The following is a 26,811-nucleotide window of genomic DNA, read 5'->3' on the forward strand; positions in this document are numbered from 1 at the left end:
AATACACAAAGTACAATAATCTTTTCATTTGATCAGTGAGATGAGACTGGTGATAATTTGGGAGATTAGCCAGCTTTTTCCTCCCCTCTCTACATGTTTTATGCATCACCCAAGAAATTGCCTAGAAACAGAGAATAGCCTTTTCTAAGTATATGGTTTAAGCATTCATTTGAACAAAGTATTCGAGTTTCTGAGGTTTACATATTGTGTTTCAGTTTCATATACAAGTGATAAGCATTTTTAATATCGGGGCTTTCACTTAAATCCCAGACCATTCACTTTTTTTGCATATGAAATGGACCCAGTTGCTCAATGCTGGGCTTAGGAAGTAACAGACTCACATTTTGTAGACATTGTAGCCAAGAGTAAGGCAAATGCCTGAGGGTGTTAGGTTATCTTTATTTAATTTATTCCCCTCAGTGTTATGGCATTGCCAGGGAATCCCAGCCCAATTGAAACAAGAATGCACCAGGTGCAAACCCCACTTTTTAGTGTACTCCCTTTCCTAGACCACTGAGTAGATAACTGTGATAAGGAAAAACCCAAACATTTGCTAAACTATGTGAAGGAAGGAAGAACAGCCAGCTTCCTTGTTCTCAATACTGTTGGGGAAGCATTGTCAATAATCTCACTTCATGGCAGGACAGGATGGGCCAAACAGCCAGTGTGAGGAATGAGAGACAGGGAGTGGGGGGTTGGGAGGAGTTAAAAGGATATCCTCTTCATTTGCTTCATTCCCTCTCCTCTTTCCATTCTGAGAAAGGGTTAAAATGATTTTTCAGTGACTTTATAATACTTATTTTTATTCTCTTTATAGTCCCAATCAGAGGTAGACAATTTGGACGATTTTTTAGCCCCTAAAAGTGGACTAATTAATACTTCGTCCTTATTTTCTAGGATGTCATAAAAGAATAGTTAAGCCTATGTAACAAAGTCTTCAGGAAAAAAAAAACTGGGATAATAGTATTTACCTTAAGAATTATTGTTACGATCAAATGAAGATAGATAGATGATAGATAGATAGATAGATAGATAGATAGATAGATAGATAGATGATGGATAGATGATAGATAGATAGATAGATAGATAGATAGATAGATAGATAGATAGATAGATGATAAGCAGATAGATGGACAGACATGATATAGATATCAGGTTTTTAGAACAGTTTCTAGCATACATAATTGCTAGTAAAATATTGGTTGTTATTATTGGCTATGCTTGAGTTTGGAATTCTCTCTCTCCTGACCTTAAAACAGTTTGTGCACCATTTAATTGATAGTTAATCAGGCACTAGCTTATCATACCTCATGCCTTGTTATTTAATGACAAAGTTTTTTTGCTTTTGATGTGTTTATGTCTTATTGTCTTAAGTAGATTTTTAATTCTGCAAGAAATAAATCTTCTTTTCAATTACTACTACCTATTACTACTTTTGCATAGAGTAGTAAGAATATATACCCACTGGGTGGTTGAGTGACTTAAATAAGATAATAATATAAAGTGCTTTGACCAGTGCCTAGCATGTAGTGCTCAGTAAGGGTTAACTATTGTTAGTATAAAATATACATATTTGCTGATTACTTTATAAAGACACGAAATTTGCTCCTGAAAATGTATGTTAAGAATGAATTTTTATGAATTTTAAATACACTAGAAAATACATGTATTTTCTTTACAAAATGATCATCTTTTGTAAAGCAAGCAGCCTCAACATATTACTTGCACCAGTATATATTTTTATATTAAAATTTCTCACTCTGAAGCACCCTTGTTTATTAAAAAATCAAATGAATGGTAAATATTATAAATAGATTTGTGAATAACATGAAGATGATTGTTTCTCAGCTATTACAATGTAAATAACATTTATTTCTTTTAATCTTCTTTTAAAATTCATTTTCATTGTTTTAACCAATTATTTGGACAATTCTATCTCATGAAGACACTGAGATTGTCTTTTCATTTGGACAAGCTAATAGGGCAAACTTCATTGAACAATGTAATAAAACATCTTTAATTTTGAGGACAAAGAGCTTCTGTTAAAATTATTATTAATATTACTAACAATTAATAATAATAAATCTAACTCTAAGTTTAAAGTAGTGGAATTGTCTGGAGAAATTGATTTCCATTCGAGTAGCTTAATGTGGTACATGATGCTAAGTGAACCAGAAAAAAAATAAAATTAGGACTTACATAGATATGACTGGAACTTGCATTTTAATTAATTCTATCAAAACATTTTGTAGTTTGGCATTGTTTGAGGATAATACTAGTTGGATGGCTAAATTATTCTTTGTACAATTTTTATTTTTAATATCATGCAGCAAAATAGGGCTTATGCTTTGTTTTGAATTGTATTTTAACACTTACTAGGAATTGACTATATGTCAGAAATTGTGCTTATTGTTAAACACAGATTATCTTATTTAATCCTCATAAAAATCCTTTGGGAAGGTACTATTATTATTCCCATTTTACAAATAAAGAAATGAAGACTTAGAGAAAGAGAAGACACAATACTATTTTGAGCATTTTTTGAATGCTCAAGAAAATGTAGAAGAATAGGTAAAAGTCATAGAAATGTTAGCTAATTAGATCTCTAACACACTTCATTGCAACTCAGTATCACTATACAAAAGTTTGTACCCCAACAGCTCCAAAAGTTCATACTCCAATGCCATTAACATAGTAGCCATTCTATACATATTTGCTGGGTAAATGAATTACCACTTAATATGCCCTGACAATAAAAATATAACCCCATTTCTTGCTTACATAGGGCATTTAAACTAGGAAACTAAGTCATTCAACAAATGTTTGTGCGGCTTAGAGATAGAATATTCGCTGTATGACTTACTAGCTCTGTGACTCTTTGCTAATTACCTAATTTCTCTTGGTCTCAGTTTCCTCATTTGTAACATATGGAGAATAACAATTTACAGAGTTGTAGTGAGAATAAAATTATATACTCTGCATGAATGTTTCTCTTAGGTGTGAGCACAATATCTGGCAAAGAGGAGGCACTGAGTAGCTTTATTAAGCTGTTTGTTAAAAAATAAAGCATAAATAGACATTTGGAATAAGCCCATATCTATTAAAAATTGAATAGATAGTTAATTAGCCAGGCATGGTGGCACATGCCTGTAATCCCAGCTACTCGGGAGGCTGAGGCAGGAGGATTGCTTGAACCTGGGAGGCGGAGGTTGCAGTCAGCCGAGATCATGCCATTGCACCCCAGCCTGGGCAACAAGAGCAAAACTCCGACTCAAAATAAATAAATAAATATTTAAAAAAATTTTTTTAAATTAAAAAAAAAGATAGTTAATAATCTTCTAAAACAGAAAGCACCAGGCCAAGATAGGTTCACTGGTGAATTCTGCCAAATATTTAAGGAAAAAATTATACCAATTCTCTGCAATGTCTTCCAGAAATAGAAGCAGAGAGAATGCTTCCTAACTCATTTTATGAGATCAGTATTATCTTAATGCCAAAATCAAAGAATTAAAAGAAAAAAAAATTACAGACCAATATCTCTCATGAACACAGATAGAAAAATCTTCAATGAAATAGTAGCAAATCAAATTCAACAATGTATAAAAAGAATTAGACACCACAACCAAGTGGAATTTGTCCCAGGTATGCAAAGCTGGTTCAACGTTCAAAAATCAATTAGTACTATCTGTTCTACCCACAGGCTGAAGAAGAAACATAACATGATTATATAAATAGATGTAGAAAAAGCATTTGACAAAATCTAACACACATTTGTGATTAAAAAGGTAGTAGGGAACTTCCTCAACTTGATAAACAACATCTCCAAAAAATCTACAGTTTACATTATACTTAATGATGAGAAACTAGAAGCTTTCCTACTAAGGTGAAGGCAAGGATGTTCCCTCTCAGCACTCTTTTTCAACATTATACTGAAAGTCCTAGCTAATGTAATAAGACAAGAAAATAAAATAAAAAGTATACAGATTGGGAAGAAAGAAATAATACTGTATTTGTTTGAAGATGACATGATTATCAATGTAGAAATCAGAAAGAATCAACCACAAGAAAGTCTCCTGGAATAAGCAATTATAGCAAAGTTGCAGGATACAAAGTTAATATTAGAAAGTCAATTGATTTCCTATGTAACATCAATGGACAAGTAAAATATGAAATTAAAAACAAGTTACCATTTACATTAGCACCCCTCAAAATAAAATACTTAGGTATAATTCTAACAAAATTTATACAAGATCTATATGAGGAAAACTAAAAAACTCTAATGAAAGAGATCAAAGAAGAACTAAATAAATGGAAAGTCCATGTTCACAGACAGGAAGACTGAGTATTGTTAAGATGTCAGTTCCTCCCAACTTGATAGCAAGTTACTTTGTGGTTATTGACAAACTGATTCTAAAGTTTTTATGGAAAAGTGAAAGACCGAAAATATTCAACTCAATATTGAAAGAGAAGAACAAAGTCAAAGGACTGACAGTACCCAACCTCAAGACTTAATATAAAGCTACAGTAATCAAGACAGGTGTTATTGGTAACAAAATTAACAAATAAATCAAAGGGAGAAAATAGGGATCCCATAAATAAACCTACATAAATATAGTCAAAAGATCTTTGACAAAGGAACAAAACAGTCTTTTCAGCAAATAGTGCTGGAACAACTAGACATCCAAATGCAAAATAAGTAAATCTAGACATAGACATCGCACCTTCACAAATATTAATTCAAAATGTATCATAGACCTGAATAGAAAATGCAAAACTATAAAACTCTAGAAGATAGCATAAGAGAAAACCTAGATGACTATGGGTATGGTGATGAGTTTTTAGATACAACACACATGGCACAATCCTCGAAAGTAAGAATTGATAAGCTAGACTTCATTAAAATTGGAAACTTCTACTTTGCAAAAGACAATGTTAAGAAACAAAAAGACAAGCCACAAACTGACAGAGTATATTTTCAAAACACACATCTGATAAAGGACTGTTATCCAAAATATATAAATAACTCTTAAAACTCAACAACAAGAAAAGGAATAACTTGAATAAAAAATTGGCAAAAGACTTGAACAGACACCTCATCAAAGAAAATATAGAGACAGCGAGAAAACATAAAAAAGATATTCCACATCATATGTCACTAGGGAATCACAAATTAAAATAAGATGATAATACTTGTTAATAAAACAAGAAGATAATATACTTCACACCTATTAGAATGTCCAAAATCCAAAACACTGACAACACTAAATGCTGACAAGGATGTGGAGCAACAGGAACTCTCATTCGTTGCTGATGAGAATTCAAAATGGTACAGCCACTTTGGAAGACAGTTTGGCAATTTCTTACAAAACTAAACAAACTCTTACCATATTATCCAACCATTGCACTCTTTAGTATTTATCCAAATGAATTGAAAACATGTCAACATAAAAATCTGTACAGGGATGATTATAGCAGCTTTATTCATAACTGCCATATCTTGGAAGCAACCAGGGTGTTCTTCAGTAGATGAGTAAGGGTAAATAAACTGTGGTATATCCAGACAATGGAATATTACACAGTGCTAATAAAGAAATTAGCTTATTAAGCCATGACAAGACATGGAGGAAACTTAAATGCATACTATTCAGTGAAAGAAGTCAACCTGAAAATGTTGCATACTGTATGAGTCCAACTATGTTACATTCTGAAAAGACAAAACTATGGAGAAGTAAACAGGGCAGTAGTTGCCAGGGGTTAGGGAAAGGGAGGGATAAATTGGAAGAATGCAGAGGATTTCTAAGGCATTAAAACTATTTTGTGCCTGGCTCAGCGGCTCACACTTACAATCCCAGCACTTTAGGAGGCTGAGGCAGGAGGATTGCTTGAGGCCGGGAGTTTGAGAACAGCCTGAGCAACACAGTGAGACCTTGTCTCTACAAAAATTAAAAATTAGCGGAGTGTAGTGGCTGGGACCTGTAGTGCCAATTAATTGAGAGGCTGAAGTAGGAGGATATTCTGAGCCCAGAGCCCAAGGCTGCAGTGAGCTATAATCATACCATTGCAGTCCAGTTTGGGTGACAAAGTAAGACCTTGTTTCAAAAACAAAACAAAACAATTTAGTATTATACTGTAATGGTAAATATGTGTCACCAAACATATGTCAGAATCCATTCAATGTATGAAGAGTGAGCCCTAATATAAACAATGGACTTTGGGTGATAATGATGTATCAAAGTTCATTGATTCTAACCAATGTACCACTGTTGTGTGGGATGTCTATAGCAGGGAAGATTGTGCATGTGTGAGAATAGCAGGTAAATGGGAACTATCTGCATTTTCTGCTTAATTTTTATGTGAACCTAAAAGTGTGCTAAATAATAAAGTTTATTTTTAAAAAGATAAACCATTGCAAAAAAAAAAAAAAGATTAGTTCTCACCATTATATGCAGTACAGTGGTTAATATTGCAAGGTCTTCAGTCAGACTGTCAGGGTTTAAAGCCCTAATAACACTTCCCTGTGATTCAGTTTCTTCATCTCTGAAATGGAGATAATAAGAGTACCTATCTCAGAGTTTTAGAGAGAAATAAATGAGATTTAAATTGCTTAGAACAGTGCATGTCTCGTAAGTTTCACTTCAATAAATCTTAGTTATTATTTCATATACAAATTTTAAAGTATTTTTATCTACAACATTTTATTGAATTATCCTAGCCTCCCTGCAAGGTTGGAATAATTGTTCTCACTCTACAGATGAAGAAACTTCAGCTCAGAGTGGCTCAGTGGCTGCCCAAGGTCTCATAATTAGTAAGTCACAGAGCCAAAGACTCCAACACAGGCTTTTGTCCTCCAAGTCCTGTGCACACTGATTCTACTACCTTTTTCAACAACCCGCCAACCCTCAGGATATCCCAGTTTCACCACTGCTTTTCCTCTTACTTTCTTCCCTTTGCAGATCCTTAGCCCAACACAGACAAGAGATTGTGGACAAGTCAGTGAGTCCATGGAGCCTGGAGACGTATTCCTATAACATATACCACCCCATGGGAGAGGTAAGGAAGGACACATGGCAGGAGGTTGGTGGTTGTCACAACCTACTTTAGGATGGGCAAAGAATGGTTCACTAGTAATATCCATGCATTAGAGAGGCTGAAAATGTGGTGTTAAGATCTGCCAATACATTGAGTTCAAGGGATTCCTGAACATCTCCCCACCCGCCACCACCATTGAAGCTGTAAAAGCTGGTGATATGAAATTTTAAAAAATTAATAACAAAAAGAAAATGAACAAGAACATCCCAACGAGCCAGTTTTGCTGCTCTGAACATGAACCAGAATTAACTCTTATTTTTGTTTGTCAAGTTCTTAGCAAGTTTAAGCTGGGCAGCATTGCTGTTTATATGGGTGTGAGGTGGAGAAGCCTTCTGATTGAATCATATTTAGCTGAAAATGTATTTATTGTAGGATTTACAGGACACATGCAGTAGTTCTCAAGAGGGGAAAACTTTTTAAAATTTTTATAATCTGTCCATCTGACAAAGGACTAATATCCAGAATCTACAAAGAACTCAAACAAATTTACAAGAAAAAACAAACAACCCCATCAAAAAGTGGGCAAAGGATATGAACAGACACCTCTCAAAAGAAGACAATTATGAAGCCAACAGACATATGCAAAACTGCTGGTCATCAGAGAAATGCAAATCAAAACAACAATGAAATACCATCTCACGTCTAGAATGGCGATCATTAAAAAGTCAGAAAACAACAGATGTTGGAGAGGATGTGGAGAAATAGGAACGCTTTTACACTGTTGGTAGGAGTGTAAATTAGTTCAACCATTGTGGAAGACAGTGTGGCGATTCCTCAAGGATCTAGAACTAGAAATACTATTTGACCCAGCAATCCCATTACTGGGCATATACCCAAAGGATTATAAATCATTCTATGATAAAGACACATGCACATGTATGTTTATTGTGGCACTATTCACAATAGCAGACTTGGAACCAACCAAATGTCCATCAATGATAGATTGCATTAAGAAAATGTGGCACATATACACCATGGAATACTATGCAGCCATAAAAAAGGATGAGTTCATGTCCTTTGCAGGGACATGGATGAAGCTGGAAACCATCATTCTAAGCATGCTATCACAAGGACAGAAAACCAAACGCTGCATGTTCTCACCCATAAGTGGGAGTTGAATAGTGAGAACACATGGTCACAGGGAGGGGGAACATCACACACCGGGGCCAGTTGTGGGTGGGGTGGGGGCCTGGGGGAGGGATAGCATTAGGAGAAATACCTAATGTAAATGACAAGTTGATGGGTGAAGCAAACGAACATGGCACATGTATACCTATGTAACAAACCTGCATGTTGTACACATGTATCCTAGAACTTAAAGTATAATTAAAAAAAAAAGGGGTGGAACCAAAAAAAATTATCTTGCATGTACCTTTTAAGTATAAATAGACAAGACCATGTAAATTATACCTTACAACTACACCCTCTATAATCTCCATACAGTAAAACTGGAAAGGTCAGAATATTATTTAATGCTTTACAATTTATATGAGAATAAACTGAATTGTAGCTTCCCCTCCAAAAAAAGAAATATTTGTATTGCTATTAAGATAAGTTTGGTGGTTTCCAAAATTGGATACAGTGAAAAATTAGCTTCTACTTATGTACGTGTGTGTATGTATGTGACATTATGCAAATCTTTTTTGAGGTATAAATTTCTAAAAATAGAGTTGCTGGGTCAAAGAATACACATGTCTACATTTTTATATAAATGCACAATTTGCCCTTCAAATGACCTTTACCAATTTATTCTCTCAGCATTTAGGAATATATTCATATTTTCCAGACTTTTTTTCAACAAGTACAAGAAAAGATTTATACTTTCTTATATAGCAGTCACCCCAAAGTACTGAAAGTTCTACAATTTTGTAAAGGTCCAGTATGGCCCATGGACACTTTATGACCTGGTATCAGAGATGAGTTCACACATGGCTTGACCACTTGCTGGCAGTGTGACTTTCACAAAGACACTTAAACTTTTTAATCCTCAGCTTCCTCATCTGTGAAACAGAAATAGTAGTATCTATCTTGTAGCATTGTTGTGAGAGTAAATGAAATAAACACTACTACTGTGTACTGAACAAGCAATAAATAAAGAATATTTGTTGCTGCTACTGGCTGCTATTTGTAGCTCTCTCAAGACATAAGGCATCTGCATCTCACCTAGTCCCATCACAGATATAAACATAACTACCCATGTGGTAAGCTGTTATTCTTTTCAGTGAATAGACTGAAATGAAAATACCCTCACTTGAGTAAGTATTACTACTGTTATAATACATTTTATCTATACCTAGCCCATGCTAAAATGAATGTCAATTGAGATATAACAATTTTCAAATAGGATATTTGTTATCCCTCAATTAACTTTTTTTTTTTTGAGACAGAGTCTTGCTCTGTTGCCCAGGCTGGAGTGCAGTGGGCAATCTTGGCTCACTGCAACCTCCACCTCCTGGGTTCAAGCAATTCTCTGCCTCAGCCTCCTGAGTAGCTGAGATTACAGGCACTCACCACCATGCCCAGCTAATTTTTTTGTATTTTTAGTACAGACAGGGTTTCACCATCTTGGCCAGGTTGGTCTTGAACTCCTGACCTCGTGATCCACCCACCTTGGCCTCCCAAAGTGCTGGGATTACAGCCATGAGCCACCATGCCCAGCCAATTAACTATTATTTACTATAACTCTTGGTTGTTGTCAGAGACATCAACTATATAGAAATTGATTGTAAGAGGTGTGAAATGCTGATGATTGTCTGAATATGTCTTATGTTTGTGAATTTTCTTATTGCATTAATTGTTATGGAACCCCAAATTACGGACTTCCAGACCAAGGTATAAGACTCTTTGTAGCACAACATAAGACTTGTAATTAAATCAGCTGCTATTCAGGTCTACTCAATTGAATCAAAACACCTAGCCTAGGACTTGATTCAGAAACTTCTGTTGGCATGTGAGAACATGTGAGAAGGCCATAATCAGGTCTTCTCTAATCTTGGAACCATGGTGTATTAGTCTGTTCTCATGCTGCTGTAAGGACATACCCGAGACTGGGTAATTTATAAAGGAAAGAGGTTTAATGGACTCATAGTTCCACATGGCTGGGGAGGCCTCAAAATCATGGTGGAATGTGAAGGAGGAGCAAAGGTATGTCTGACATGGCAGCAGGCAAGAGAGTGTGTGCAAGGGAGCTGCCCTTTATAAAACCATCAGGTCTCCTGAGACTTATTCACTATCACGAGAACAGCTCAGGAAAACTTGTCTCCCACCCCATGATTCAATTACCTCCCACCAGCTTCCTCCCATGATATCTGGGGACTATAGAAACTACAATTCATGATGAGTTTTGAGAGGGGACACAACCAAACCATATATTCCACCGCTGGCCCTTCCCAAATCTCATGTCATCACATTTCAAAACTAATCATGCCTTCCCAACAGTCCCCCAAAGTCTTAACTCATTTCAGCATTAACTCAAAAGTCCACAGTTGAAAGTCTCATCTGAGATGAGGCAAGCCCCTTCCACCTATAAGCCTGTAAAATCAAAAGCAAGTTAGTTACTTCCTAGATACAATGGGGGTACAGGCATTGGGTAAATACACCCATTCCAAATGCAAAAAAAATGGCTAAAACAAAGGGGCCACAGGCCCCAAGCAAGTCCGAAATCCAATAGAGCAGTAATTAAATCTTAAAGCTCCAAAATAATCTCCCTTGACTCCATGTCTCACATCCAGGTCATGCTGATGCAAGAGGTGGGCTCCTACAACCTTGGACATTCTGTCCCTGTGCCTTTGCAAGGTATAGCCCCACTCCTGGCTGCTTTCATAGGCTGGCATTGAGTGTCTGCAGTTCTTCCAGGTGCACAGTGCAAGCTGTCAGTGGATCTACCATTCTGGGGTCTGGAGAATGGTGACCCTCTTCTCACAGCTCTACTAGGCAGTGCCCCAGTGGGGACTCTAAGTGGAGTTCCAACCCCACATTTCCTTTCTGAACTGCCTTAGCAGTTCTTCATGAAGTTCTTCATGAGGGCTCTGCCCTTGCGGCACACTTCTGCCTGGACACCCAGACATTTACATACATCATCTGAAATCTAGGTGGAGGTTCCCAAACCTCAGTTCTTGACTTCTGTGCACCTGCAGGCTCAACACTATGGGGAAGCTGCCAAGGCTTTGGGCTTTCACCCTCTGAAGCCATGGCCTGAGCTGTACCTTGGCCCCATTTAGCCATGGCTGGAGAAGCTAGGACACAGAGCACCAAGTTCCTATGCTGCACAGAACAAGGGGGCCCTGAATCCAGCCCATGAAACCAATTTTTCCTCCTAGGCCTCCAGGCCTGTGATGGGAGGGGCTGCTGTGAAGGTCTCTCACATGCCCTGGAGACATTTTCCCATTGTCTTGGTGATTAATAATTGACTCCTCATTACTTATGCAAATTTCTGCAGCAGGCTTGAATTTCTCCCCAGAAAATTAGTTTTTCTTTTCTATCGCATTGTCAGGCTGCAAATTTTCCAAAACTTTATGCTCTGTCCCCTCGTGAATGCTTTGCTCCTTAGAAATTTCTTCCTCCAGATACCCTAAATTATCTCTCTCAAGTTCAAAGTTCCACAGATCTCTAGGGCAGGGACAAAATGCCTCCAGTCTCTTTGCTAAAGCATAACGAGTCACCTTTGCTTCAGTTCTCAGCAAGTTCCTCATCTCCATCTGAGACCAGCTTAGCCTGGACTTTATTGTCCATATCACTATCAGTATTTTGGTCAAAGCCATTCAACGAGTCTCTAGGAAGTTCCAAACTTTTCCACATTTTCCTGTCTTCTACTGGGCCCTTCAAACTGTTCCAACCTCTGCCTTTTACCCAGTTCCAAAGTCATGTCCACATTTTCAGGTATCCTTATAGAAGCACCGTACTCTACTAGTACCAATATACTGTAGTAGTCCATTTTCATAATGCTATGAAAACATACACAAGACTGGGTAATTCATAAAGGAAAGAGATTTAATTGACTCACAGTTCAGCAGGGCTGGGGAGGCCTCAGGAAACTTACAATCATGGTGGAAGGGGAAACAAGTCCTTCTTCACATGGCGGCAGCAAGGAGAAGTGCAGAGTGAAAGGGGTTGGGGGTGGCACCTTCTAAATCCATCAGATCTTGTGAGACTTATTCACTATCATGAGAACAGCATGGGAAAAGCCCACCCCCATGATTCAATTACCTCCCACAGAGTCCCTCCCATGACATGTGGGGATTATAGAATTCAAGATGAGATTTGGGTAGAGACCCAGCCAAACCATATCACATGGACATCAGCAAAAGATATCACCGGGATCTGTAAAGATGGAAGAAAATCTCACAAAATAAGCCTCACCTGAAATTTCTGGCATGATTGTGTGCCACATGAAAGCTAAGGCTGGTGGTCAATTGAAGGATGTACTGTTATACAATATTTCTGAAGTGTTACTGGTGGGTTATTCAAACTGTTAATTCTTAATAACTTATTGGTAAAGTGCAGTGGTAGAACCTAAGACTTGGTGACAGAATAAATTGTTAAAGAAAGGGAAAGATGGGAGGTTGTTTTCTGTTTCTTTTACCACACAGCTGTTGCAATCTAGAGCAAAGATAACAGAGTTCAATGTGTCAGTGAAAGAAGCAGTTATCTTAATCAGAGGCATGCAAACAATCTTCCTACTGATAGCCACAGTCCTCCCTTGCTGTTTCAGATCTATGAGTGGATGAGAGAGATCAGTGAGAAGTACAAGGAAGTGGTGACACAGCATTTCCTAGGAGTGACCTATGAGACCCACCCCATGTATTATCTGAAGGTGAGTGAGAAGGCTGAGAATTACCTTACCAGGAGAATTATCCAGGAGGATATGTGTTTACTATTCAGGGACTCTAATCAGAAGTGTGGAAAAGAGGCTATGCAGAATCAGTTTGCTTTTTCCACCCCAAATGGGGCTCTTAAAGTTCAAAACTCATAGATGCTCTTGCCTTAATTATCTGGGTGAAATCAAGTTCAGGAGTGAAGAGAATTTTGGAGAACTGAGTGGGACCATGGGGGTAGGGCTGAAAAACAGCAGGGCCCAGAAGTGGACAATGCCCACTCATGCTTCAACTAGAGCTAGTTCACTTCTCACCTGTATTTTAAGTTGTTATTTTGTTTATATTTTTAAATTTTAAAATGTTCTTTTTTAAAAAAAGAAAAATGTTTAAAAACCACAGATAATCTTCATTTTTAGCTTCTTCCTTTTATGGTTAAGGGAACAAAGATCCAGAGAAGTGAGGTGACTTGTGAAAGGCCACACAGCCAGATGTCAGCACAGCCAGGGGGATAACCAGGTCTCCAGCGTCTCCTACCCCTTTTGCATGCAACATGACCAAAAGTATTTGGGACCGAAAAACCATTTTTCCACAGGGCCAGGACCCCTGAGCTCCTGGTTCTGCACCAGTGATTTTCAATTCAGGCTGCACATTAAAATCACCAGAGAGCTGCCAATAATCCTTATGCCTAGACCCCACCTAATTTGGTTAGAGATTTTGACCTAATTGTTTCAGGATGGGACCAGGCATACTTCGAACACTCTCTAGGTGATCCTAATGTGTAACCAGAGTTGACAATCTCTGCACCAAACCAGTGGTTTTCAAAGGGCAGCACTTAAATCATCATCATCATCAGCAGCAGCAGCAGCAGCATCACCACCTGAGGGCTTGTTACAAATGCACACTCTCAGGTCCCTGCAAAGGTCTACTAAGTCAGAAACTCGGAGGCTGGAGCCCAACAGTCTATTTTAACAAGGCTTCTTCCAGGTGATTCTGATACACATTCAAGTTTCAGAACCAGAGTGCATTTTTACACTTGATCATAGCCAAAAGGCTGAGAAGCGATACCACAGTGCATTTCTAACAAGTTCCTAGGTGATGCTGATACCACTGGTCCAGGACCACTCTTTAATTAAGAACCACTACTAAAGTAGTATGGCATTAAGAACCAGCATTACTTAGTTTACTGCCCTCTTACTACTTAGTGTAGGTGTGTTAATTTACAAAGTACAGCCCTAAATTTGAGAGTTAACTACAACTCTTAAAAAATTATTGGCTCTGAAATGGAATTTACCCAGGGATTATGTGAGCAACTGGTTGATGTATTAAGCATGGGCCACCTGCCTACCTGATTTTCCATAGGCAATCCAAGTCTACGCCAAAGCAGTCAAAAAGACATCTAAATATCCTCTGCCTAGGGCATATTAAAAAGAATAGAACATAATAAAGAGTTGCACATAATAAAGAGTTGATAAAGATAAACATGTAACTAGCATACACGTACTCATAAAAAGGCTAATTATAGGAGGACATTGGCGGGTGCGGTGGCTCATGCCTGTAATCCCAGCACTTTGGGAGGCTGAGGCGGGTGGAACACGAGATCAGGAGATCAAGACCATCCTAGCTAACACGGTAAAACCCCGTCTCTACTAAAAATAAATACATTAGCTGGGCGTGGTGGCATGTGCCTGTAGTCCCAGCTACTTGGGAGGCTGAGGCAGAAGAATTGCTTGAACCCGAGAGGTGGAGGTTGCAGTGAGCCGAGATCATGCCACAGCACTCCAGCCTGGGTGACAGAGCGAGACTCTGTCTCAAAAAAAAAAAAAAAGAGAACATTAAGGTAAGAGGTGGATTAGGAATTGTCCTGACAATTTGAAAAATAGATGAGGCTAAAAGGAGAAGATTCCTTGAATATGATAGATCCAGCCATGTATTTATCTCATTTTGTAAGTTTCTCATAGAGAGGAAGGGGGCCTTCATCACCTCAGCTTCCAATGGTTTTCAACAAATAGCCTTGGTCTAGGCTATTTACAAATCCAAAACAGATGTGACTGTTCCAAGCATGGGAGTGTTAACAGCCTCTTCTCCACCAAAGAGAATCCACAATTAGCAGTTAATTCCCACCCACCTACCGCTCTGAAAGAGGGGAATCTTCCTTAGAGTGAGGCTGCACTCATGTACAAGAATAGCAAATGGGGAGAAGGAAAGAAGATTGGGCTGGCAGGGAGTCAGGGAGTCTCTGAGGGGAAGGGGAATTTGTGTAATTGAATCCATTTGAAATTTCAAGAATTTTGAGTGGAGATTGGGATTCATTTTAAAGACCTATGATTCTTGAATATTACCTCTTGTGCACTTCACCGCTCTAAGTGAACTCTAAGTGCAAAGGTTTTATAAGGTTTATCCATATTTAGCCTTTTAGCTTGTGGATTAGGGGTTATGCCTTTATCTATAGTTAGGGAGTAATTTAAGGTATAGGGAAGATCATTCTTTGGGTGGGTACTATGGGGAGCCAGTGTGCAGTCCTGAGAACAACCATCAAGGTAACTGGCAGGAGAACAAGAGTAGCAGAGGAAAGAATCATGTTGATGGGTGTCTCATTAGCATCCTTGCCTCCCTCTTGAAACCACAGAGTGGAGTGAAAAAGGAACCTCTAGGGGAATTAAAAATCTCATAACTTTGCACAGTGGCTTACAATAATCAGCAATTGTTTAGTAATGGGGCATGGATATCTTCTCCAGATCAGCCAACCATCTGGTAATCCCAAGAAAATCATTTGGATGGACTGTGGAATTCACGCCAGAGAATGGATTGCTCCTGCTTTTTGCCAATGGTTCGTCAAAGAAGTAAGTGTCTTTAGCTTTCTCATACTGGTAAATCACCCCCATAAAATATCTGTCACTTCTTGGCTGCTTACAAACCACGCTTCTTTCACATGTTAGTGATGCAACTCTTTACTGTGCTAATCCTTCACCTCAAGTGAAATAAAATTAATGAGGAACTTCACTGAAAACTGAATTAATATTCTGATCTCTTTCTAGTGCATCCAAAATAATTTTTATTGGAGGGTAAACATATCTAAATGTAGAAGAACATATGTCTATGGAGTCAGAGATGAGTTTGAATCCTGGCTGTGCCTCTTTCTAATAGTATTTGGCAAATTTTCTAGTTTTTTTTTTTTTTTTTTTTTTTTTTTTTTAAGACAGAGTTTTGCTCTTGTTGCCCAGGCTGGAGTGTAATGGCACGATCTCAGCTCACTGCAACCTCCGCCTCCTGGGTTCAAGCGATTCTCCTGCCTCAGCCTCTTGAGTAGCTGGGATTACAGGCATGCACCACCATGCCCAGCTAATTTTGTATTTTTAGTAGAGATGGGGTTTCTCCATGTTGGTCAGACTGGTCTGGAACCCCCGACCTCAGGTGATCCACCTACCTCGGTCTCCCAAAGTGCTGGGATTACAGGCATGAGCCACCATGCCCAGCCAGTTTTCTAGTTTTTCATCTGTAAAAAGAGTACGAAATAACTACTTCATGGGTCTGTAGTGTGGATTAAGAGACTTAGCATATGGAAAATACCCAGCACAGTGAATTTTTGTGTATTACTTATAATCCTCCCTTGAGGGAATAAGAAATCTTTAAAAGTAATATAGAATACTTTCTTGGTCAGTTTTTTCAGAAACCCAAACACAGAGAAACTCATAAAGAGTAGTTCTCGGAGTGTTGTCCCCAGATCAACAGTATCAATACCAACTGCAAACTTACTAGAAATACAAAGTCTTGGGCTCCATTTCAAACCTAGTAAATTAGAAATGTGCGGAGACAGGGATGGCAGGAGGTGAATGGGGTAAGGGAGAGTGGATGCCAGCAATCTGTGTCTTAACAGGTCCCTCAGTGATTCTGATGTGTGATAAAGTTTGGGAACAACTACTGTAATAAGACACGGAGGAGGGCTTGGGGACTGGAGGGTGGAGGTGTGATGTACAGTCACCTCTTATAATTAAGTTGAAATTGGTAGAAAATTAAGAGAGAAAAGATCTCAAAATAATTCTGAACATTTCTTTCTTAAATTTCCAGATTCTACAAAACCATAAAGACAACTCAAGTATACGCAAGCTCCTTAGGAACCTGGACTTCTATGTCCTTCCAGTTCTTAACATAGATGGTTATATCTACACTTGGACAACTGTGAGTACACCATGTTTGGTCCTGGGATGAGTTCATGAACTAAAGCTCAATTCAGGTTAATTTTTCCAATGTTATCCATTCCGGCTCTAAAAATATTTCATACCTATGTAAAGAAAGGAACCCCATTTGGGATAAAAATCAGCTTAACATTTTTAATCAAACCATCTACATTAAGTTTAGGCCTAAGGAAGCCTAAGGCCTTTTTAGAGTTGAAGTCCATTACAGGTTTTTTCTTTGTTTTTTACTCTCCTCTTCCATCTTCTTAATGTTTGTGGATTGCCTGCCACCCAATTAGGATTATATTGATAAAAATTCATGTACCAACTTGCATCCATGTCAAATCAGTTCTAGAAGCATGAAGGCAATGAATAATGTATAAACACAAAACCAGCCTACATTTTTCAATGCAATCATTCACACAGGGGGCAAACATCACATAAAGTCTTTTTATGCAGCAGACAACTGTCTCTTTAAAATGTTCCTAAAGCCTATCACTCTTCAAATAAGAGCCCCTATTTCTAGAGAGTATGCATTGCCTCCCCTTTTCCATTGCTCCCCTAAGGACTTCAGGGGCCCCTTTCTCTGGAACAGCCTTTCTGGCCTGGTGTGTGAATCGAGTTTTCCCTCTGAGCTTGTCTGATGACACTTGTCTTTATTCCCATCTCCACTCATCAGTCCTCAGCTTCCAGAAATGTGCAGAGACCATCTCTGACACACCTGGAATGGTCTTTTTCCATCTGTCAAGCTATTTCCCTTTCATCCTGTATCACTTGAATGTAGAAAATGACTCCAAAGCAAACGTTCCCTGAGTAAGCAGATCACGTCCACAGGCACTGCTAATCTGCTCATGAGGAAAAGGCCAAACTACTTCCTCCAATTTAATTGTTTACATGTATGTATACTTTTGGTTGTACAGATGTTCCTAGTATTGGGGGCTGCTAGCCCATCTGTAAGACTAAAAATTACACACACAAGCTGCCTAATGTTAAAGGGAAGTTCTTCCAGATAATCCTAGGAAACATTTTTCATGTTCAAGGACCACCTATCATCACTAACACTGTGATTTATGAAACCTTAGAACAGCAACATCCGTATGTTCCTCTGCTACAGGATCGTCTTTGGAGGAAATCCCGTTCACCCCATAATAATGGCACATGTTTTGGGACGGATCTCAATCGAAATTTCAATGCATCTTGGTGTAGTAAGTACATGCTTAGTAGATGAATTATGAACAAATAAAGCTGAGAAGTAAGAAAAGAGGTGAATTACTAAATGTATAATTTTTGAAAATAACATCTAATATGGTACAGCTTTCTGGGCTTCCTAATGAGTTTTATTCCCTCTAACAGGATAATATTATCTACATAGTAAGAGCTATCAGCATTCAAGTACAGGACTCCAAGTGAAGCTGGCTAAACAAGAAAAAAGTAGACCTAGACCAGTGTGAATATATTTCAAATCCATCCCTTTGTTTTTAAATATATGAATTATCATAAAGAAAAGAAAAATCAGAGACTTATCCTTGCAGATTATTTCATAGCAGGGGGCAGGCAGTAAACAAAGCAAACATTTTTCTCTCCTTATGGCATTTTCATGTTTCCAAATCTCAATATGCCCAGTGAATTGGAAGCAAATAAAGAAGGAGGAATGGCTGAGAACGTTGCCATTAACCAGATGGGAAGGGTTAAAATTGAGACTTGGCAGCTGTGTGGTCTTGAAAAAATTGCTTCATCTCTCTGCTTTAGTTTTCTTTTACGTAAAATGTGAGCCACAGTAGCCCTACCTTATCAGTAGGTTGTTGTAGGGATTAAATGGGATGCTACATGGGAAGTGTTGGGCACAGTACCTAGCAGATAGGAGGTGCTCAGCTGATCATTCTTATTATTATTAATGAGGATTACAGACTACTTATGTCCTTGCTAAATAGCTCTAATGAGACTCAAGCTAGTAAGACATGAAGGAAAAACTTAAATCAAAAAGACAATGTCAGAACCTTACCCAGGAACCCAAGAACTGCTTTCCAGGCATTTGTTTCAGGGCCCACCACAGGTTTAAGTAAAAGCATACTGGCAGGGCACGGTGGCTCATGCCTGTAATCCCAGCACTTTGGGGAGGCCGAGGTGGGCAGATCTCAAGGTCAGGAGATTGAGACCATCCTGGCTAACACAGTGAAACCCCATCTCTACTAAAAATACCAAAAAAAAAAAAATTAGCCTCGCGTGGTGGCGGGTGCCTGTAGTCCCAGCTACTGGGGAGGCTGAGGCAGGAGAATGGCATGAACCCAGGAGGTGGAGCTTGCAGTGAGCAGAGATGGCACCACTGCACTCCAGCCTGGGCGACAGAGCGAGACTCTGTCTCAAAAAAAAAAAAAAAAAAAATACAAGTATACTAAAATGCCATTTCATTTTGTATCCCCTTTCCCGGGCCATGGAAGCATGGAGTTTGTTTCTAAATCCTAACGTTATCCCTTTCTGCTATTCTGAGTTCCTTCTAGAATGGTTATCCTTCAGTGACTATCCAAGTTGACTAATTTAGCCTGGACTAACTCAGACAACCAAGGGCAAGCGCTGATTCTACTCACAGAGGCCCTGAGTATGGATGACTCCTTGCCATTGGTCATTTCCAAACTGAGATCATGCAGCCTTCTTTGTGGTTTCTTCCATATTCTAGGTATTGGTGCCTCTAGAAACTGCCAAGATCAAACATTCTGTGGGACAGGGCCAGTGTCTGAACCAGAGACTAAAGCTGTTGCCAGCTTCATAGAGAGCAAGAAGGATGATATTTTGTGCTTCCTGACCATGCACTCTTATGGGCAGTTAATTCTCACACCTTACGGCTACACCAAAAATAAATCAAGTAACCACCCAGAAATGGTGAGTCCATAGCACCAAGGCCTCCAGAAAAACCTCAGCAAGACCTCTGCCTTCCTTTTTCTGATTTCCATTTCCAAGATTTTGGCTCCAGCCACCCTTTTGTTCTCTCTGCTTATCCCTATATTCTTTTTCCTGCTTTTGCACCTTGCCAGACGCCTGCTGGGAAGGCTTCGGGTTAAATGCTGCTTTACCTACATTAATTAACTACCTGTTTCATAAAGTGTCAAGTTGGGAGACATCTTAGGTATTCATCTATAATATAAATGAGATGATTATGTTAATAATCTGCAGGAATGCACTTTCATTTCTGTAAATTCTCTTGGAGCTCCGTTCAGCAATTACAGCTTTTGAACCGTGCTTTCAAGAACTTGCCAGCTGTTAGTGGAATATGGCATATCTAAAATAACATGGCTAAATAATATCTGCTCTCTTCTCTGCTAAACACAATGCTCTATTTTCTTCTAAACTCTTCCTTCAGTATTTGCCTAGGATTATTTGTAAGGGGAAGTGCCAGCGAAATGCAAGCTGGAGCAGGGAAACTGTTTGGTCTTATCCGTGTCCTTCTCTGAAGCTGTGTTTACCCAAGCACTGTTGGGCAGAATTACTGAGAAGGACTGGGCTCTTTGCCCTTTTGTGAACCAGAGGACAACAGACACAAGTCAAAGAGAGGATAAATTTAGAATTGCAAATTGTAATATTTGTTTTCCTTTTATTTTTATTTTTTTTCCGTTTTAATTGTGGTAAAATAAACATAAAATTTACTATCTTAACCATTGTTAAAGTATACAGTTCAGTAGTGTTAAGTATATTCATATGGTTATGCAGCCAATCACTGGAACTTCTTCATCTTGCATAATTGAAACTATGCCTATTAAACAACTTTCCATTTCTTCCTACACGAGTCCCTCACAACCATCACTCTACTGTCTGTTTCTATGAATCTGACCACTCTACATACCTCATATAAGGGAACCATGCAGTATTTATCTTTTTATGACTGGCTTTCACTAAGCATATTATCCCAAGTTTCCTCATGTTGTAGGGTGTATCCAAATTTTCTTCCTTTGTAAAGCCAAACAATATTCCATTTTGTGTATATACTACATTTCGTTCATCCCATCCTCTTATCTGTCAACGGACACACTTGGGTTGCTTTCACCTTTTGGCTATTACGAACAATGCTGCTATGAATATGGGTGTGCACTTCTAAGACTCTGCTTTCAGTTTTTTTGATTCATATCCAAAATGTAATTGCTGGATCACATGGCAATTCTATTTTTAATTTTTTGGGGAACCACCATACTGTCTTTAATAGAGGCTGCTCCATTTGATATTCCCACCAACAGTACATAAGGGTTTCTCCACATTCTTGCCAACACTTGTTATTTTCTGTTTATCTTTTTATTTTTTTAAACATGCTCCTCTTTCTATGCAAATGCTGAGAAGAAGTGGGGCTAAGCTTGCTCTGTTCTTAATATCACAGAGGCCTGATGACCTATTGGTTAGGTTATACCTTTTGCACATCTCCCTCCGGAGCACGACCCAGAAGACACAAGGCCTGAACACTAAAAGAAAAACCACTGTAGACCTTTGTTGGAAGGAGCCCTTCTCCCAACAGTCAAAAATGTCCAACAACACTCAAGTACCTTTCTTGCAATTATTCTTTCTTTTCTTGGTCCAGGAACACTTGCACTATATGATCATTTTGTAACATGTGGAAATAACTAACATCTGCCTAGATCTTTACAATTTACAGAGAGATTTATAGCTGTTATCTCCTTTGACCCTCATGATAATATATTACATTCACTTTGGAGTATAGAAATTGAAACTCTGAGTTAACTTTATCATCAGAACTCTATAAATAGGAAGTGGTGGGGCCCAGGCTAGAACTCATGTCTTTAGACTCCAGAGGCCACATTCATCATCCCACTACCTCGCACGCCTCTCTCTGCTCAGAAAGGATGTGCAACTTCTAGGAGTCATTATCAGCTAGATTCCCAGTCAACTATGCACTATTTCCTTCTCGTTTGTGAGCCCTGGAAGTTCTATTTCTTCAATAAAGAAATCTACAGAATCAGATATTTCAGTCAAGAAGCCCAGAATGCTCCTTTTTCCCAGTTTCAGGGATATTTGTTGTAGATTCCTACTTTCTGCTTAAAGGGATCTGTGACAAACACAAATGAATCTCCGAAGACAGGTAATTAGAGATCTTTGATGGAAAGGGGTCTTCCGCCAGCAGAAAAAGGAGGCTAGTATATTCCAGTATTTTTCTTGGCTACTTCATTCTCTAATTGGTTCAGGAAAACAGATGCTCTGTGACCATTTTGCAAAGTTTGTATTCAAAGATTGGAGGGTCTTGTACTGCTGATTGGCTGTCTGGTTAGAGCCCTGTGCTGTGGCCAGAGGCTAGAAGGAGCAAGACAGCAGGAGGGACCTGAGGCAATGGCACCATCACTACTGGACAGTAACTCTAAGAAGAGAATAACTGGCAACTCCATAGCACTATATACAGAAACCAGTAAATCAAATTGAGAAAGATGGCTTCAATTCTGTATCTCTTACAGTCTCAGGTGCTGAAGAGTTCACATAAACAGTCGTCTCCAAGACTTTTCGATAAAAAGACTGTGAATATTTTACTACCACACGTCTACCTCATTGAAGCTACTTAGCAGTGTTTTTAGGTTCTTGGGGGCAAGCTTTGATAGAGTGCGCAAAGACACAGAATCAAGCCAACTGCTCCAAGGAGATTTCCATTTCTAGTACTATTTACAAGCCACAGAGACTAGTAATTAATCTCTATTATTTACAAAAACCAAAAGTTTATAGAAATCATGGTAAATATTATACTACATGATAGACAGCTTGGCAATCACTGTGTAGGAGAAACATAACTATATATAGCCTCTTTCTAAACTGCTCTGGAAATGAGAATAGCTATAAGAATTCTAATGTTTTACATGCTTACATTCTTTCCATTTGAACTCTCTTTGTATCAACCTCTGTACTCCATCCCAAGCTCTGCTGCCCCCACCCCTACTAGGCCAGAGCTTTATTCAACCATTCTGTGGGCCTGCCTCTGAATATATGCTTACAGGAAATTCTCTGGGCCCAGAGAAGGAGTTGTTAAGCGGGCCGGAGGTTTTTACAAATGTGTATTATGTACTATTGGCAAATGAGTTTTTATTATTTTTATTAGGAAGTACCTATAAGCTGAGAAAAAAAGGCGGCAGAGAAACTGGCTCTATTATAGCCTTGCAATGTAGTGTCGAAGGAGAGAGAAGTACAATCAGGAGTTCCACCTCCAGAGACAGAAGTTGAATTCGGTAGTCTGGGGGATTTCCATTTTATCTTCTCAGAAATGCCCAAATTGCTAAGCTGAGGATCACAACTGAATGCTTCTCATGTCTATCTCTTACTCCTCTCTGCTTCCGCATAGTAATTCCTCATGGAATTATTAAAATAGAGCTCAAAAGTTATTTTATCAACAAAGAAGGGTAAACTGGAAAGACTGTTTCCTACCCCACAGCCAGGATTCGAGGAAAGGCAATGATATCGGATAAAATAAATGATAGCTGGCAATGTGAAAAAAAAAAAATTTGTTGTCTAGGGCAAGCTGCAGGAAAGAAAAAAAAAAAGCAAGGAACCACTGGGATGGCAAGTGTAGTCTGGTCTGATGCATATATCCCAATGAAAGGTAAGGCCCCACATGGACCAGTTAGCATGGAGTTCCATTTAAAAAAAAAAATGGGAATTAAAAATAATTAAAAGCAATTCGTATCTCTGCTAGAGACTCTTAAAGAACTTCAGAAGGGAGTGTGGTTGGTAAATCACAATGCTTTTCCCAGGCCCCTTCTCTCAACTTCATCACATACAGCAGCTACCCTGAATCCTGCCCACCCCTCCCTCTCATTTCCTTACCAGAATTTCTCTCTCCAGCAGACCATTCTTGTACCGCCTCCCAGTGTAAATGATTAAATCAGCGTTTTTAGCCTCTCCTACCCATTATCTCAATTCTGGATAACACAAACCCAGGAACTGAGGCAGACTCAGAATCCCTTTTTAGGAAGTGAGGGAGGTGAATGGCCAAAGATGGCATTCTTAGTATTGAGTGGAGAGAAAGCAAGTGACTTGCAAGTATGTTTGACAGAGTGTTTTTCCTTTGATTTTAGTCAGACACAGAAAGCCCCAAGTGCCTTAAGAACACTGCCCACAACCGTCCAGTATGATCCCCCCAACTTCCTTACTGCCTTTTGGCCAACATAAATGTTGTTCCTTTTGAATTTCGCTGGGCCAGTTCCCTCTCTAGACAAGCACTACTCTGCAACATCTTAGGGTTCAGCTGGACAATACAGAGCTGGGAGAAGGAGAATCTAAAATGAGACCTGTCCCTAGTCAGGCATCCGGGGAGCTGGTGCACCTGGAGTGCAGTCAGGAAGCCCTGAGGGGTAAGGCTTTGGCAGATCACAGTCCAGGCAGGGAGGGAGACTGTCAGGGGAAGCAGTGGGATATTCCGTCCGACAGGTAGAACACACATGTTTAGGCTGGGGAATACCTAGAGCATCTGTCAGCAAACCTAGGCGACATGCAACAGAAGGTCAATAAGCCCAGCCAGTAGACTTGGGCCTCAGTTAATGACTCTTATCTCTGGAAAGGGGCTGCAGAGGTGAAGTGGTGGTAGGTGTGGGGATGGGTATGACTTCCAGCTCTGAAATGCTATATATATATATATATATAGATATATAGATATAGATATAGATATAGATATAGATAATGAGATTAAACACTATAAGGAAAAAGAAGAGGGGGGTCAGAGAGAGGAATGAAGAAACAGCTATGGGGATTCAAAGTGGGGAGAGATAGAATCCAGTTGGAGGGATCAGGTAAGGCCTCTTGGAGAAGCTGGCATTTGAAAAAATCCTTTGAAGCTGGGCAGAATTTCAGCAGGCAGAGATAAGAGGTAGGGGTCCCATGTGGAGGAAATATCCTGAGGAAAGATAGAGGCTGAGGAATGTAGGGTAAGGCTGAGGAATGGTAGGAAAATGAGTTTTTGACTATCATCTAGGAGGGATGACAAAATATGGTGTTGGGAAGGTGGGTTAGAGTCATATTGGAGAGGATCTCAAAAACTAGGCTGAGAAGTTTGTACTTAATTCAGTGAGCAATGAGGAGCTCTTGAAGACTTTTCCACAGGATCATGATCACAGCTGTATGCTACCAAATTTCATCTGGAAGCCAGGTGGGATCACTTGAAAGAAGGATTGGTGAGAGAAATCTATTAGAAGATGCAACAGACCATTTCAGAGGTAGAGTCTGACATAGAATGATGGCACTGGAAATGCAACTTGGAAACTGTTTTAGAGAGGGAATATCAGAGATGCCTGCAGAATTCTACGTGTGTGTTTGGAAGAGAATGCAAGCCCAGAAATATGAAAGTCAGAGCAGCCTTATTAGTGGGAGAGATGGTGAAACTGGATAAAGTGTGCTGAATCTGAGTTACCAGCAGGCTACCTAGATGTAGATGTCCGATGGGAAGTTGGAAAGGTGGCCTAAAACTCTGGAGATGAATCTGGACAAAACACCAAATGGTTGGATTGTTGGATTTATTTTAAACACCAGATATCTGTCTCTGCATTTCCCACCTACAGATTCAAGTTGGACAGAAGGCAGCAAATGCATTGAAAGCAAAGTATGGAACCAATTATAGAGTTGGATCGAGTGCAGATATTTTATGTAAGTATCTTTTTTTGCCTCTTCAATAGTATCTAAGGCACAAAAGAAGTCAGTGGACTTTGGATGGTGAGATAGGCGGGAGAGGAACAGAAGAGTTCCTGGGATCAACAGGGAGTTGTACAAATCAAAATGACCAAGGATAAAAGGGAGTCTGTACAAATCCGGAATTATACTCTCTAGGGATAAGGTATGAACTAAAAGAAAAAGAATTAATGCGTTGGCTCAGACCAGAACTTCTCCTGGCTTCAGTTAAAAAGAGCTGGCAAGCTAGAAGGCACAAGAGTTAACAGGAAGGACATTGTCCACTGACCTTTGGTCAGTCAATTCAGTTCCCAGAGGACCCATCAGGCTAAGAAAGCCCTGGAGAAAAAAATCTAAAGACAAGAATTTAGTTGAAAGGAGAGCGCTCTGTTTCTCCCAACCCCAATCTCCACCCTCTATGAGCCCCCCTCTAAATACCTGTATAATATTTTTCTTATGGGTCATTTTGTTTCTGTTCCTTTCTTTAAATGACTCAGTTCACTCTTGCCAGGCAATATTAGGTTGCCAAGTCAGTCAGTGACTCAGCTAAGAAACTTTAGCCAAACCTTTCTATGTGCCAGACACAGTGCCAGGTATGATGGGGGACAGAGATACTGAATAAGACGTGGTTCCCACCCTGCAGGGGCTTACAACCAAGAAGAAAGAGAAGACAGCTATTTCTGAGACCCTGATCTAAAAGAGCTTCTTTATTTTACTAAGTGAACCTTTAGTTCCTGAAATGGCTATAGAAATCCATTCTTCCAAAGTATGACTTCTACCTCTGCCTTCATGTTTTCACCTGTAGATGCCTCATCAGGGTCTTCAAGAGATTGGGCCCGAGACATTGGGATTCCCTTCTCATATACGTTTGAGCTGAGGGACAGTGGAACATATGGGTTTGTTCTGCCAGAAGCTCAGATCCAGCCCACCTGTGAGGAGACCATGGAGGCTGTGCTGTCAGTCCTGGATGATGTGTATGCGAAACACTGGCACTCGGACAGTGCTGGAAGGGTGACATCTGCCACTATGCTGCTGGGCCTGCTGGTGTCCTGCATGTCTCTTCTCTAAGTGCATTCTGCCCAGGCCTGCTCAACCCCAGTGGCATG

The 26,811-nt window shown here is 39.3% G+C and overlaps 1 protein-coding gene across 2 annotated transcripts in view; it reads left to right on the forward strand.

Moving 5' to 3' along the window:
• Positions 1-26,811, forward strand: part of CPO (carboxypeptidase O) — a 29,957-nt gene extending 3,146 nt beyond the window's left edge. The window contains exons 2-9 of one of the 2 annotated variants that reach the window (NM_173077.3): positions 6,954-7,050; positions 12,800-12,901; positions 15,638-15,742; positions 16,968-17,078; positions 18,189-18,279; positions 19,749-19,951; positions 25,600-25,684; positions 26,511-26,811. In NM_173077.3, coding sequence (NP_775100.1) covers positions 6,954-7,050; positions 12,800-12,901; positions 15,638-15,742; positions 16,968-17,078; positions 18,189-18,279; positions 19,749-19,951; positions 25,600-25,684; positions 26,511-26,773 — 1,057 coding nt within the window. In that variant the 3' untranslated portion in view covers positions 26,774-26,811. The remainder of the gene's footprint in view (positions 1-6,953; positions 7,051-12,799; positions 12,902-15,637; positions 15,743-16,967; positions 17,079-18,188; positions 18,280-19,748; positions 19,952-25,599; positions 25,685-26,510) is intronic. The other variant, XM_047443423.1, reaches the window with a different exon arrangement.

Source organism: Homo sapiens, chromosome 2, assembly GCF_000001405.40.
Source record: "Homo sapiens chromosome 2, GRCh38.p14 Primary Assembly".
NCBI classification, from domain to species: domain Eukaryota; kingdom Metazoa; phylum Chordata; class Mammalia; order Primates; family Hominidae; genus Homo; species Homo sapiens.